The sequence below is a fragment of the Homo sapiens genome, chromosome 5, assembly GCF_000001405.40.
Source record: "Homo sapiens chromosome 5, GRCh38.p14 Primary Assembly".
Lineage (NCBI taxonomy): Eukaryota > Metazoa > Chordata > Mammalia > Primates > Hominidae > Homo > Homo sapiens.
The window spans coordinates 149,862,420-149,877,587 of record NC_000005.10 but is presented as its reverse complement, the minus strand read 5'-3'; the positions used below and the strand labels follow the sequence as shown (position 1 = coordinate 149,877,587).

General features: G+C 46.1%; 1 protein-coding gene across 6 annotated transcripts in view; it reads left to right on the top strand.

Annotated features, from left to right (window-relative positions):
* PDE6A (phosphodiesterase 6A) overlaps window positions 1-15,168 on the top strand; it is an 86,841-nt gene that overhangs the window by 67,206 nt on the left and 4,467 nt on the right. For all 6 annotated transcript variants that reach the window (NM_001410788.1, NM_000440.3, XM_011537650.3 and 3 more), the window contains 4 exons: window positions 9,430-9,493; window positions 9,789-9,863; window positions 11,335-11,418; window positions 14,322-14,469. In NM_001410788.1, coding sequence (NP_001397717.1) covers window positions 9,430-9,493; window positions 9,789-9,863; window positions 11,335-11,418; window positions 14,322-14,469 — 371 coding nt within the window. The remainder of the gene's footprint in view (window positions 1-9,429; window positions 9,494-9,788; window positions 9,864-11,334; window positions 11,419-14,321; window positions 14,470-15,168) is intronic.

The following is a 15,168-nucleotide window of genomic DNA, read 5'->3' as shown; positions in this document are numbered from 1 at the left end:
AAATACAAAAATTAGCCAGGCATTGTGGTGCGTGCCTGTAATCCCAGCTACTCGGGAGGCTGAGGCAGGAGAATTGCTTGAACCTGGGAGGCAGAGGTTGCAGTGAGCTAAGATTGCACCGCTGCACTCCAACCTGGGTGACAGAGTGAGACTCTTTTTAAATTTTTTGTAGAGACAAATAAAGGTCTTACTATGTTGCCCAGGCTGATCTTAAACTCCTGGGTTCAAGCCATTCTTACACCTCGGCCTCCCAAAGTGCTGGGATTACAGGCATGAACCACTGGACCCAGACTATTTGGACCCAGACTATTTGTTCAAGAGTTTTTACAACTTTAATTGCCAGGCACTCCCCCTGAACCCCACCCCCATTCCCAGCCAGTGGGTGGGGTTTTATAGGGGGGCAGCAGGTGAAAGATTTTTCATTTAAATATCTTACTTCTTTCAGAAAATGTATCACTGTCCAGGGACCATGACACTAGGGCAAAGGCACATCAGTAATACGTACTGAAGATGGTAGCAACTGATTTAATCCACTTCACTGTCTTCTTTCTATCATCTGTCTTTACAATTTTTTTTCTTTCTTTTTTATTTGGTCAATAGTCTCTCAACAGAATCATATTATCTATCTATCTATCTATCATCTATCTATCTATGTATCTATCTATCTATCTATCATCTCTCATCATCTATCATCATCTGTCTGTCTAGTCTACCTACATACCCTCCATGTACCTTTACCTTTCTTAGAATTAAAAATAAAAGATAAGTTGGATGTATTGTAACATGCTTATTTAAATTTAAAAATAGGAACTGGGCATGGTGGGGAGGCTGAGACGGGCAGATTGCCTGAGCTCAGAGGTTCAAGACCAGCCTGGGGAACATGGTGAAACCCCATCTCTATTAAAATACAAAAAACAATTAGCAGGGCATGGTGGCTTGCACCTGTAATCCCAGCTACTGTGGAGGCTGAGGCACAAGAACCGCTTGAACCGGGGAGGCGGAGTTTGCAGTGAGCCGGTATGGAACCACCACACTCCAGCCGGGCCACAGAGTAAGACTCTGTCCTGGAAAATTTAAATTATCCAGGTACGGTGGTGCACGCTACTTGGGAGGCCGAAGTGGGAGGATTACTTGAGCCCAGGAGTTTCAGGCTACAGCTAGCTATGATCATGCCACTGCACTGCCCTCCAGCCTGGGCAACAGAGAGACTCTGGTTAAAAAAAAAAAAAAAAAAAAAAGAGGAAAAATGGGCAAAAAATAGGTGCTGAATCCGACTCCAGTCTAGTAACAAGAAATATTCATTCATAAACCAATACTTTTTAAAAAATCCACCCTATATTGTTAATAGATGAATTCAAAAAAGGGTGCTTTGAGTGTTTAATAATTATTTGTAAAAATAGGTAGTATATTTTGTTATTTAATTGTGTAATAATAACTTAATCCAAAAGAAAATTTTTCAACACTTAGAGGCTTATGGTCAAAGAAAAAATTTTAATTACATAATTTCAATAAATGGATATAATTGATTGCAAGTAATTATGAAAATCGATCAATGAAAGACTTTCAAGCATATATGTAGTGTACACACACACATATATATACAGAAACACATATGCACATACATGTACACGTATATACACACAATATTAGGATAAAATTCTGTGGGGAAGTCAAGTGGAAATAGAGGTTTACAGAGACAAGGAAAGATGTAAAACTCTAGACTCTTAAAGAAAAGCTTGCTCATGTGCTTTTATTGTGGGTAAAGAATGATGTAACAAATTTATTTTAAAAAGTCAGTATGGCCAGGCACAGTGGCCACATGTGTAATCCTAGCACTTTGCAAAGCTGAGGCGAGAGGATGGCTTGAGCTCAGGGGTTTGAGGCCAGCCTGGGCAACATAGCGAGACCTTGTCTCTATAAAAAATAAAAATTTCCCTGGGTGTGGTGGCACGCACCTGTGGTCCCAACTACTCAGGAGGCTGAGGTGGAGGGACTGCTTGAGCCCGAGAGGTTGAGGCTGCAGCGAGCCCTGACGGTGCCACTACACTCCAGCCTGGGTGACAGAGCGAGGCTCCTCCGACTCAAAAAAAAAAAAAAAAATAGTCAGTATGTATAATGTGCTATAAATTAGATCCTTTGAAAATATTAAACTTGTAATAGTTTAAGATGTCAACTTAAAAATGTGCAAGAAGGTAGCACTTTTCAAAATTCTTTAGGTAGGGATTTAACGAAAAATATTGGGAGACCTGTAATGCAGCGTTTCTCAGTCTCAGCCCTGTTGACATTTGGGGCTGGCAACCCTGCTGTGGAGCTGTTCTGCGCCTTGAGGGATGCACAGGATTAGACACCAGGAGCACCCCCACCCCTCCCCAGCTGTGACAATCAAAAATGTCTCCAGACATTGCCAAATATCCCCTGGGGCAAAAATTGGCCCAGCTGTTTGCTATAAAGCCATCTCGGGGCCCATTGCTTAGGTGTATAATTGGAACTTCTTCACACCTGGGTAGCATGTAGCTGTTACACACTTGGGGCTTTGGTATCAGACAGCCTGGGTTCAAGTCTCAGCTCTTTCATTTATTGGTGGTGTGACCTCAAGCAGGTGACTTACTCCCTCACCTCAGTTTCCTCATCTGCTCAGTGAGGATCATGGTGGTGCCTACTTTGTGGACCATCATGGGGGCTGAGCTGGAGTATGTGGAATGCAGTGCAGCAGGTAGTGGTGTTCGGTGCTTCCTGTGGTATAAGAAGACATATATGTTTGGTCTTCGTTCCTGGTTCCTGACAGAGATCCTAAAACCCTTGGAATTTCCTGAGTGATAGGAGCATCTTTTGTTCTGATGGGATGACTCTTGGCAGGACCCTAGACAGCTTCAGGCTAGGGGCTGGTCACCAGAAAGACCAAGCCTTCATTTGAAGCTTGGAACTTTCAGCCCCATCCCCAGCCTCCGGGGAGGGAAGAGGCTGGAGATTGAGTTAATTGCCAGTGGATAATGATTTAATCAATCATGCTTCTGTGATTAAAAACAAAAAAAGCTCCATACAAACCTCTAAACAGCAGGGTTTAGAGAGCTTCTGGTTTGGTGAATACTTCGAGGTGGTGGCACGCATTCCCCCTCCCATAACTTTGTCTATGCATCACATTCATTTGGCTGTTTCTGAGCTGTAACCTTTATAATAAACTAGAAAATGTAAGTAAAGTGTTTCCCTGAGATTTGTGAGCTCATCTAGCAAATTACTGAACCCGAACGCAGGGACACATTTCAACTTTGTTGCCAAGTCAGACAGAAGGGTAGGTAACTTGGGGACCCCATACATGTGGCTGGCCTCTGAAGTGAGGCAGTCTTGTGGGACTGAACCCTTTAACCTGTAGAATGTGATGCTAACTATAGGAATTTAGTATCAGAGTTGAAATGAATTGTAAGACACCCAGTTGGTGTCAGGATTGCTTGTTGTGAGGAAAAACCCAACACTCCCTTCCTGTGTTTTGATTATCTTGGAGTGCTTATGTCCACGGGCTTCCTGTGGTGGGAGGTCCACACCAATTGACTTTGACTTTTTTCTTCTTCTTTTTTTTTTTTTTTAGAGACAGGGTCTTGCTCTGTTGCTCAGACTGAAGTGTGGTGGCATGATCATAGCTCACTGTAGCCTCAACCTCCCAGGCTCAAGTGATCCTCCTGCCTCAGCCTCCTAAGTAGCTAGGACTACTTCAGTAATTTTAATCTAGGGTCAAGATATTATAGAAACTCTAGAGTGAGGGTGTGACTTCCTATTCTTCATCAAACTCTTGACATTTCCCCTTAATTCCAGATTTTGCTTCTGACAGTCTGACCAAACCATGAGTTGGAAAGGCTCACAGATCCTCTAGCACTGCAGTGTTTGTGTATGGCTCATGAGCTAAGGATGGCTATTACATTTCTAAATGGTTGGGGGAAAAAGTCAACAGAATAATATTTCATGGCCAGGCGTGGTGGCTCACACCTGTAATCTCAGCACTTTGGGAGGCCAAGGCGGGCGGATCACTTGAGGCCAGGAGTTTGAGACCAACCTGGTCAACGTGATGAAACCCTGTCTCTATTGAAAATACAAAAATTAGCTGGGCGTGGTGACGCACACCTGTAATCTCAGCTACTCAGGAGGCTGAGGCAGGAGAATCGTTTGAACTCCAGAGGTAGAGGAGGTAGTGAGCCTAAATCATGCCACTGCACTCCAGCCTGGGAAACAGAGTGAGACTCGGTCTCAAAAAAAAAAAAAAAAAGAGTATCTCATGACAAATGAAAATCATAAGAAATTCAAACTTCAGTCTCCATAAATAAAGCTGTATTCTTTTACAGAGGGCCACATTCTGACTTTCATGGGTCCTAGGCACTTTTGTCTTTGTGCCTCCTTCCTCCATAAAAGTAAATAAGTAAATACAAATTATATTTTATGATTGTGTTGGTATGAAGACAAATATAATCCAGACTGAATTCATTCTTACATATTCATTCCTGTTATGTCCTTTTTTCCTGCTCATCTTGAAAGAAATTGAAATATTTTCATGGGCCCTGGAGAATATCGTGGGCCCTCGGTGCTCTGTTGAATGGACGAGCTGGCCCTGCTTATCCATGCTGTGCTTATCTACGGCTGCTCTCACATCGCAGTGGCAGAGCTCAGTCTTTGCAGTAGGGACTATGTAGGCTGTAAAACGTCAAACATTTACTGTCTGGCTCTTTACAGAAAGAGTTTGCCAATTCCTGGTCTAGTGTTTTACAAGTGAGGAAAGTGAGGCCCAGAGAGACAATGTGACTTAGCTGGCATCACGCAGGCATTTGTGGAGCATCAAGGACTTGGACTCAGCCACACCAGCCCTTGCCTGCACACCCACTGCTTTCTTAGGCTCCTCCAAGGCCTTCCCCGGCAGGGTCTCCTGCTGTACCCTCCAGACACATGTAATTCCAGGGAGGGTCTGAGTAAGTGTCCTGAAAGGGCTGGCTAAGAGGAAGGCTGGAATGCTTTTCCTGAAAGTTGGCCAGGAGTCAGGAAGAAGTGCCACTGAAACTCACAGCCAAGGAGCCAAATGTTTCAGGAAGAAACATTTGCCTTGGGGATGGTCCAGGCGGATAAGAGCTCAGCTTGCTTTTGAGAGCTCTACACACGAGGGTGACCCAGAACGTGAGTGAGATGAATGCAGGTGCTGATAATGAAGATGAGGACACTGGGTGCATTTACAAAAGCATCTTATGTGATCATCACAGTAAGTCTTAAAAAGGATATATTACATTGACCCATAGGAAACTGCTGAATTTTAACTGATTTGGACTAACAAAATCAGAATTTCATAGGATCCAACCTAACATGAATATCTCATTTTACAAACGAACAGACTGGGACTCAAAGACATGAAGTCGCTTGCCCTGGACACAGCAAGTGGGGAGGAGATGGAAGGTCTAATTCAGCTCTGTCTGATTCCAAAGCCCTGCATGGAATTTTGCACTGTTGTCCTATTGAACTCCATCCCCTCCTCTTGACAGTTCGTCTACTGAGAGCATAAGGTTCACATTTCTGAGCATACAATATTTTTGTGGCATACTCTTGCTTCTTTCTGCATTATAACCATGTTGTCCTTTACTCTGTTCCATCCTGACACCTCTCTCTTCCTCACTTTGCAAGTCTAATCTGTCCCCAAATGCTGCTGAGTTGACTTCCTAAGTGCCATATCTGTCTGGACATTTCTCTTTATTGCCAGCTCCATCTCTTGTCCAGATCCTGCAGTGGCTTCCTAACTGGGTTCCCTGTGTACGCTCCTGTCCCTTCCACACTGAAGCCACAGTGATTTCTGTGAAATACAAATGTGGCCACGTCACCCTTCTGTTCTAACTCCCATGGCTTTTCCTGTTGCTCGTAGCATGAAAACCATCCCCTCGCAGCGGCGCCTGGGCTCTGCATGGGCCGCCCCTGCTCCTCTGTGGAGCTTCTCTTACCAGGTCTCCCACCTGCTCCCTGAGCTCCCCCAACCTTTAAGCTCTTTGTGCAGGGCTTCCTTCTACCAGGCCCTGCACACTAGATGATCCTTCTGCCTGGAATGTGTTTCTCCCACTCCCTTCTTTAGCAAGTAAATGGTTACACATCCTACAGTTATCAGCTCCAGAGGCACTCTCTCAGGGAAGCCCTCCCTGACCTCCCAGACCTCAGTCAGTTTCTCTTTCTCATGTCTTCTCCAAGAATGGAAGTCCTTTCCTTCAGAGCAGTTGTTTGTTTACATGTTAACCTGCATGTGTGGGATAAATGTGCAATTCCCCAGCACATCTGCAAGATCTCTGAGAGCATGGACCATGTGAGCCCAGCCTCTTCCTAGCCAGCAGAGACCACTTTCCCTGTGTGTTCTTCTATGGTGATGAAGCCCATGACCCCACGATGGGGGCTGCAACCTTACGACCTCATCTAAACCTCAGCACCCCACAAAGACCCTGTCTTCTAATAGCATCATATTAAAGGTTAGGGCTTCCACATATAAGACTGGGAAGAGACAAACATTCTGTCCATTACAGAGGGCTCCTATGTACCCCTCAAGGCCTTTGCTCCATTGTCACCTCTTAGATGGCACCTGGACTGAGCTAGTCACCTTCACTTTTGGGTTCTTTTTTTCTTTTCTTTTCTTTTCTCTTCTCTTCTCTTCCTTTCTTTCTTCTTTCTTTCTCTTTCTTTTCCTTTCTTTCTTTTTCTTTCTTTCTCTTTCTTTCTCTTTCTCTTTCTTTCTTCTTCTTTTTTCACCTTGGACCTTTTTCTGCCATTCTACTTAGCATATTGTGATGACAGTTTTTTTTTTTTTTTTTTTTTGCCCTGTGTTCCTTGAGTGACTATGACCTCCCTGCAGGCCCCTCTGGATCCCCTGTGCCCAGCACAGCACTTGGGACCCCAGTGCATATAAGGGGGAGGTGCTGGAGTGAATGTGAAGCCTCATCTTTAGGGCACAAGTCTCGAATTGGCTTTTCTGGCACCTTGGTGTCCCTCCTTCATCCCATGCACACAGCAAATCTCTGTCTATAAAATTCTTAGGTGTGTTTCTGCAACCACTGGGAATGTTTTCCACATGATCCCTCCAGCTAAAGAAAGTAAGCATCCAGTGCCCTCCTGAAGCCACCAGGGAGCCAGTGACTCTTATATGCATAGCTGAGCATTTATTTGCTCAACCTATCTGACAGTAAGTAAACATGTCCACAGCACTTATTAAAGCACAGGGCATGTATTCTGAGGTTATTATAAAGCATAAAGGTGTTTCTAAGAAATGTATGCACTTCTGAAAGCTTACTTAAAGAGCTATTTGAATTTCTGAGGGTTTACATAATTTAAAATATGCAGTGGCATGATCATAGCTCACTGTGGCCTCAAACTCCTGGGTTCAAGCGATCCCCTCACCTCAGCCTCCCAAAATGCTGGGACTACGGGCACATGCCACCACGCCTGGCTAATCTGTGTATTTTTCATAGGGACAGGGTCTCACTATTTTGCGCAGGTTAATCTTGAACTCCTGGCCTCAAGTGATCCTCCTTCCTCAGCCTCCCAAAGTGCCAAGATTACAGGTGTGAGCCACTGTGCCAGGCCCATAATTAAAGATTTTATTTAAACTTGTTAATATTCCATGAGTAACTCTTACAGCCTCACAGACTGGCTTATAGAAAATATGCCCCACACAGCTGATTAATTGTAAAATTATCCAAGCAGCAAGTTAGGTTCAGAGCCCCAGCCTTCTCTCACTCCTCCCTCTCCCCAGTTCCTGCCCATTGGTCTCACCCCGCCGCAGCCAGCCGTTGCTGCAGACCAGCTCTCCTGCCCTCCTGCTGAATTACTGCAGCACCCCATCCCCCTCCATCCTGCTCTTTTCTTCCTTCTCCATCCTACTAGTCCTGCCAGCTGCCTTCCTGCAGCACAGCTCTGAAGAGGTCACAATTGGGCCTTTAACCTTCAACCGTTCCCCACTGCTTGCTAGATACAGTCTGCACTCCCTGGCATGGAATTTAGGGCCCATGCCACATGGCCCTGGATTACCAGGATTACCTGCTCTAAAATGTTTTCTCAAATCCACCCCCCTTGCTCCCTCCTCTTGCTCCAGTTCTTTGTCCGTGTCCCCTCCCTTTCTATTTTCTGTTGTACCCACCTATGTAATAATACCTGCCTTGCCTTTCTATGAGTGGGACACTCCCTTAAGAGTTTACCTTTGAACTCTTTCTACCTACTTTCTTTACCTGCACCCTTCCACTCCTTTTTTTTTTTTTTTTTTTGATATGGAGTCTCGATCTGTCGCCCAGGCTAGAGTGCAGTGGTGTGATCTCAGCTCCCTGCAACCTCCGCCTCCCGAGTTCAAGCGATTCTCCTGCCTCAGCCTCCCGCGTAGCTGGGATCACAGGTGCATGCCATCATGCCCAGCTAATTTTTGTATTTTTAGTAGAGACAGGGTTTCACCAAGTTGGCCAGGCTGGTCTTGAACTCCAGACTGCAAGTGATCCGCCCACCTCAGCCTCCCAAAGGGCTGGGATTACTGGCGTGAGCCACGGCACCTGGCCCTTTCCAAGCCTTAATGCAAGGCCTCTTTGCTACAGCTGTTCACAGTTCTCTTTACACCATATGTTTTCTTTTTTCTTTTTTTTACCTTTTAAATTTTTTGGGTGAGAGTTTCTGCCAGGTGAGGAAATGGCCTAGAAGAGAAAGAAATCTATTAGTATTAAACAAAACTCCTAAATCAGAAAAGCTAACTGACTGATAGAAAAATGGAGTATATTGCCTCCAATGGAGCAAAAAGTGATTCTTGAGGTAGGAGAGCAAATCTTAGCTATTACAATGGCCTGTGGTTCTCCAAACAGATGGACAGCATATCTGTGGTATTAAAAGCTCATCGTGGGGCAATTACTGAAAAAGTATCTAAAAAGGCTCGTTGGCAGTTGGGGCAGGGAACAATGATGAGAAAAAAAGTTGAGAAACACTTCTCTACAGTAGAAAAGAGCAAAGGGACTCTGAAGATGTGATGAGATTTAAATGAAATTGATGTTTGTACAGTCCCTGGAACAGTGCTTGATACAGAAGAAAACCCAGTACATGTTCCTTATGCATATACCATGTTCAGACACTATACTTAGATTTCTCCAACCACAATCTCATTTAATCTTATACCTGTTTTGTGAGTAAGGTACGATTATCATTACAGACAGGGAAATGGAGGCTCAGAGAGGTTGGTGTAGTTGCCCAGTGTCCAACCTCTGATCACTGACAGAGGCAGGATCTAACCCTGTTTGATTTCAAAGCCCAACCCCTGGATGCAATGGGGGTGAGCCCTTTCCTCACAATGAGACAAAGTCACCTACTAGTGGGGGTGGAGAAAGGTGAGAGAGATGGAATTAACCAGTACATGAAGTCTTAAATGGCCCTGGACTGATAGAGGGTGTCCTGTGTGCCCAGGGCCATGATGATGACCGCCTGTGATCTCTCAGCCATCACCAAACCCTGGGAGGTGCAGAGCCAGGTATGAACTCCTGCTGACCCAAGAGGAGGGGCATCCCAGTACTGGGGGCATCAGGTCATGAGGCTTGGACTCTCTCAGCCCAGCTCCAGAACCAGCTCACCTGTGTCCCATCCTCCTCTACCAAGACATGGGAATCATTTTACGTCTCTCCAGTGATGACAGCAAAAGTGAGGGTGGCAGGGCAGGGATGGGTTTATCCTTTTTGTTGATTTGGAATTGCAAGTGGGGTGGGAGCAGGGGTAGGGGATTGGGCTGGGGCTCTGACTCTGCGTGTGTGAGGGTCTGTCTGTTGCAGGTAGCTCTGCTGGTGGCTGCTGAATTCTGGGAACAAGGTGACCTGGAGCGCACGGTGCTGCAACAGAATCCCATTGTGAGTAGACAGGGGATGTCAGCCTGATGTTAGGTGTGTGTGCTCCATCCTGACCTAGATATGACCTCGCCATGATGGAGAGATGTGTGACTTTACCATAAAGATGACCTTTTCCTAATGCAGTGGTTCTAAAAATGTGGTCTCCAGGCCACTGTCAACCTCATTACTTGAGAACATGTTAGGTATGTATATTCACAAGCCTCACCCTAGGTCTACCCAACCAGAAGCTCTGGGGGTGGGCCCCTGCAATGAATGCTCTAACTAGTAAGCCCTCCTAAATTTTGGGAAATGTGTCCTTAGCTCACTCAACCCTAGAGGTTGGCAAGTGGACTCCAACACTTAGATTGCCCTTTCAATTTCAAAGGTCTAGAAGTCCATCCACCTCCCCTGACCCTAATCTAACAGCACAGAGTGAGCAAGTTGTGCACCTGTCAACATTGAAAGTTAACTTGGCTGAGACAGTCAGCCAGCTTCCCATGGAGATGCGCAGTTGGGGAGATCGGAAGAGCAGCCCGAAGTTTCCCTGAAGTCCCTGAAGGCAAAGCTGGGAAGTAAAGCAGGGTTTGGAAAGGATGGGTAAAAGAGAGAGACATTGTGGGGACAAACCGTTGACACCTGGATAGGCTAAACCTGTGAGAGTGTGCTAAGGATGCAGAGGTCACCACGGCAGGCTTAGGCAGGAGCCGAGAGAGAGTAGAAGGCTGGGAGGAGCAGGTCCTGTCATGAAGAAACACGTGAAGGGCCCCATGGGCTTTGTCGTTCTCACTCTCTCTTTGTAATATTTTCAAATATATTGAGAATAGTCAGTGAACTCTAGTGCCCATCAGCTACAGCCAACAATTAGCAGCAGTCTGCCATTCTTGTTTTATCAATTCCTTCCAGTGCATTTTTTTGCTTTTGGTTGCAGTATTTTAAAGTAAATCTCAGCCACTATAATCTCTTCCATAAATACTTTAGTACGTATCTCTATGAGACAAGAGCTTCATATGGACAAAATCATAAACACAACCATAATACCATTAACACACTCACAAAAGTCATATACTTCAGTATCATCTAATCCCCAATTTCTGTTCATTTTTCTTGATTAAGAAAGAGAATTCAGTTGATTTGTTCAAATCAGGATCTAATCAAGGAGCATACTGCCTCTGGTTTTAATGTCTCTTAAGTCTCTTTTAATCTGTAGCAGGCCCTGCCATCCCTCCCACCCTCTGGCCTTTTTCTGGTATGCCATTTATTTGCTGAAGACAGTGTGTCTTTTTTTTTGTGCAGTTTCCCACATTCTGGATTTGGTTGGTTACACCCTCATGGTGTTCTTTAACATGTTTCTCTATTCTCCTATTTCCTGCAAAATGCTCATCAGGTCTGGAAACATGATGAGTTTACAGTTTGATTTTAGTAAGAATGCTTCATAGATAGGGTAGGTTTCTCTTACTGTCCAGTGCAATTAACTCTTTCTCCCCCATGACAGCCCATGATGGACAGAAACAAAGCAGATGAACTCCCTAAGCTTCAAGTCGGCTTCATTGACTTTGTTTGCACCTTCGTCTACAAGGTAGGCCCTTGGCTTCCTCAGCCGCAACAAGATGTCTTTGATAAACCTGGGATTTCCAGACAACAGCAGGAATAATAAACCCTAGCAGGTGACCAGTGGGTGATACTTTACAAAGCGCTTCTCATCTCTAATGGCATTCGATTCTCAGGACAGCTCTATGGGTCTCATGTGATTGCAGCTCCAGGCTCCAGCGTACGGTACATCCTAGTTGCTTAATACATAATTGTGGGGCAAATGACTAAGCATGGATTCACAGAGGAAGGGGAAACATAGTAGACATATGTCCTTCTAAGTTCCCTAGCTGGTGGAAACATCATAGGCCAAAAGTAATTGTGAAAAGATAATCTGGACTTTCTCTTTGAGCTCTTATTCAAAGTTGGTCTCCCTCTTGAGAAACCCATTGCTCCCAACTTTCTGTTAATCTGTGCCACCATCCACCTCTGACTTTTAATTTTTATTTTGGCCATGTTACACATGAGAAGACAAAAGTCAGAGATGCAAAGTGACAGGGCCAGTGTCACTGGACTTAGCCATAAGGCAGGATTTAGCCCAGTTCTCTTTATGCTGTGTGAGCTGCAGCCCTTTGCTAGGAAGAAGTGCAAATTTTCTAGAAGGCAACAAGAGCATCTGAGATACAACTCAGACTAACTGGGGTGCTCTGACCCACGGGACACAGTGGCTGATGCTTGCCACTATCATCAGTAATATTTCTTTTTTTTCATTGAGGACATGAGTTTTTTGCTGGTTTTTTTTTTTTCTTTGAGACAGGTCTCATTCTGTCACCCAGGCTGGAGTACAGAGGCACCATCATAGCTTACAGCAGCCTTGACCTCCCAGGCCCAAATGATCCTCCCACCTCAGCCTTCTGAGTAGCTGGGACCACAGGTGCACACCACCACATCCAGCTAAATTTTTTTTTTTTTTTTTTTTGAGACAGAATCTCACTCTGTCACCCAGGTTGGAGTGCAGTGGTGCGATCTCAGCTCACTGCAACCTCTACCTCCCAGGTTCAAGAAATTCTCCTGCCTCAGTCTCCCAAGCAGCTGGGACTTCAGGCATGTGCCACCACACCGGGCTAATTTTTGTATTTTTAGTAGAGACGGGGTTTTGCCTTGTTGGCCAGGATGGTCTCAAACTCCTGGCCTCAAACGATCCACCCGCCTCGGCCTCCCAAAGTGCTGGGATTACAGGCGTGAGCCATGGTGCCCAGCTGAGGGAATGAGTTTTAATCATCAGGAATATTATTAAATAAGGGAGACTGGGCTAAGTGCTTTATATATGTTATCAAAACCACACTGTGGGGTAGGTATTATTACTGTCCTGATTTAATGGCTGAAGGTAAGCTCTGGTAGTGACCCGCCCAAGATCGCAGTTTGTGGCAGAGCCTGGACCGGAACCCAGGCATCTCTGAACACAGTCGGCTCTGGCACTTCACAGCGGGCCGTGGATTTGCTGTTCTTATATTGGGCAAATCCACTCCATCAATCTGCATCTCAATTTCCTTACCTAAAGATGTAGAAGTGATGAATCTTATTTTCCTACCTCACAGGAATTTGAGGACCAGAGGAGATAAATTGCTCATAAAGTATAATGTGCTATGCTCAAAGAGCTGTAAGAGCCTTTAAGAATCATCTTCTAGGTGGCTCATGCCTGTAATCCCAGCACTTTGGGAGGCCAAGGCAGGTGGATCATTTGAGGTCAGGAGTTCGAGACCAGCCTGACCAAAATGGTGAAACCCCATCTCTACTAAATCCAAAAAAACAAATTAGCTGGGTTGGTGGTGCATGCCTGTAATCCCAGCTACTTGGGAGGCTGAGGCAGGAGAATCACTTGAACCTGGGAGGCGGAGGTTGCAGTGAGCCGAGATTGCACCACTGCACTCTAGCCTGGTCAACAGAGCAAAACTCAGTTTCAAAAAAAAAAAAATCATCTTCTCAACATCCCGATTTCACTCAGAAAATATTTACTGAGTATCCTTGTGTCCCAGACCTTGTGCTAGGCCAGGGCCACCCCAGGGAATGAGGCTGCCAATGTCCCTGCCCTCTCCAGGTTCTCAGCCTCTCGGGGAGACAAGCAAAGGGAGTCATGACAAGGAAGCAAGATGTGGTAAGAGAGGGCTTTGGGAGCTTCCAATGGGGGACTCCACTAGGGGGCCAGAAGAGGCTTCTTGGAGGAAGTGACATATAAGTGGAGGCCTCAAGGAAGAAAACGGGAGGTTAGAGTGTTCCAGCAAAGTGAACAGCTTGGGTTGAGCATGGTGGCTCATGCCTGTAATCCCAGCACTTTGAGAAGCCAAGGCAGAAGAATCACTTGAGGCCAGGAGCTTGAGACCAGCCTAGGCAACATAGGGAGACCCTGTATCTACAAAAATAAAAAAAATTACCTGGGTGTGGTGGCATGAGCCTGTAGTTCCAGCTACTTGGGAGGCTGAGGTGGGAGGATGGGTTGAGCCCAGGAGTTTGAGGCTGCAGTGAGCTATGTTTGTGCCACTGCACTCCAGCCTGGATGACAGTGAGGCCCTGTCTTGGAAAGAAAAAAAAAAGAAAAGAGCAGCTTGTGTGAGGCTCACAGAATGGAGGACACACTCCAGGAACTAAGAGATTTGGATTGCTTGGAGAATGCAAGATGGTCAAGGGCAGGAGGACACTGGGTCATGGAGTTTGAAAGCCATAGTAAGGGGTTTTCACTTCATGCTGAAGGACAGGGGCGCCACAGGAGGCTTCTAAGCAGGTGAGGCATGGGCTGGTGTAGACCGGAGGCCCTGCAGTATCAGCACGGTGGCGGGAGGCCTGCTACTCCGAAGCAGCTCATTCCAGTGTTGGACGTTTCCAGCTGTGCCACCCGCTTGAGCCCAGACCCTGTGGCCTGGCCCTTGCACCAGAGGCACATACTCTCTCTTCTAGGAATTCTCCCGTTTCCACGAGGAGATCACCCCAATGTTGGACGGGATCACCAACAATCGCAAGGAGTGGAAGGCGCTTGCTGATGAGTACGATGCCAAGATGAAGGTGCAGGAGGAGAAGAAGCAGAAACAGCAGTCGGCCAAGTCAGGTTTGTGGAAGGGGGAAGCAGGGACTCCCACCACCCCACTCCCTGAGCACTCAGTGTCTGCGTCCTGCCTCAGAGACTCTTACACGGAGTCTCATTCAGGCCTCCTGATGGCCAATACTGTCCCCATTCTGTGTGTGAGAGCACCAAGGCTGGAAGAGACCAAGTCACACAGTAAGAGACAGAGCCCGGTTCCCAAGATTGAGGCTGAGGAACGATCCAGGCCTCCCAGCAAGTGCCCCGGCAACCAACATAGCACAGACTCTGATTTTAGGGCTGTGGACATATGTCCCTACCCTGGGACAAAGGAGAAGATCTATAATTATTGGTTGGAAGGAATTTTATTTTTATTTATTTATTTTTTGAGCCGGAGTCTCACTCTGTCTCCCAGGCTGGAGAGCAGTGGCACGATCTCCACTCACTGCAACCTCTACCTCCCAGGTTCAAGCAATTCTTCCGCCTCAGCTTCCTGAGTAGCTGGGATTACAGGCACCCAGTGCCATGCCTGGCTAATTTTTGTATTTTAGTAGAGATGGCGTTTCACCATGTTGGCCAGGCTGGTCTCGAACTCCTGACCTCAGGTGATCCACCCGCCTCGGCCTCTCAAAGTGTTGGGATTACAGGCATAAGCCACCGCGTCCGGACTTGGAAGGAATTTGAGGCCCTATTTCCAGCCTTCTGTCTGATGTTTGAATCCTATCT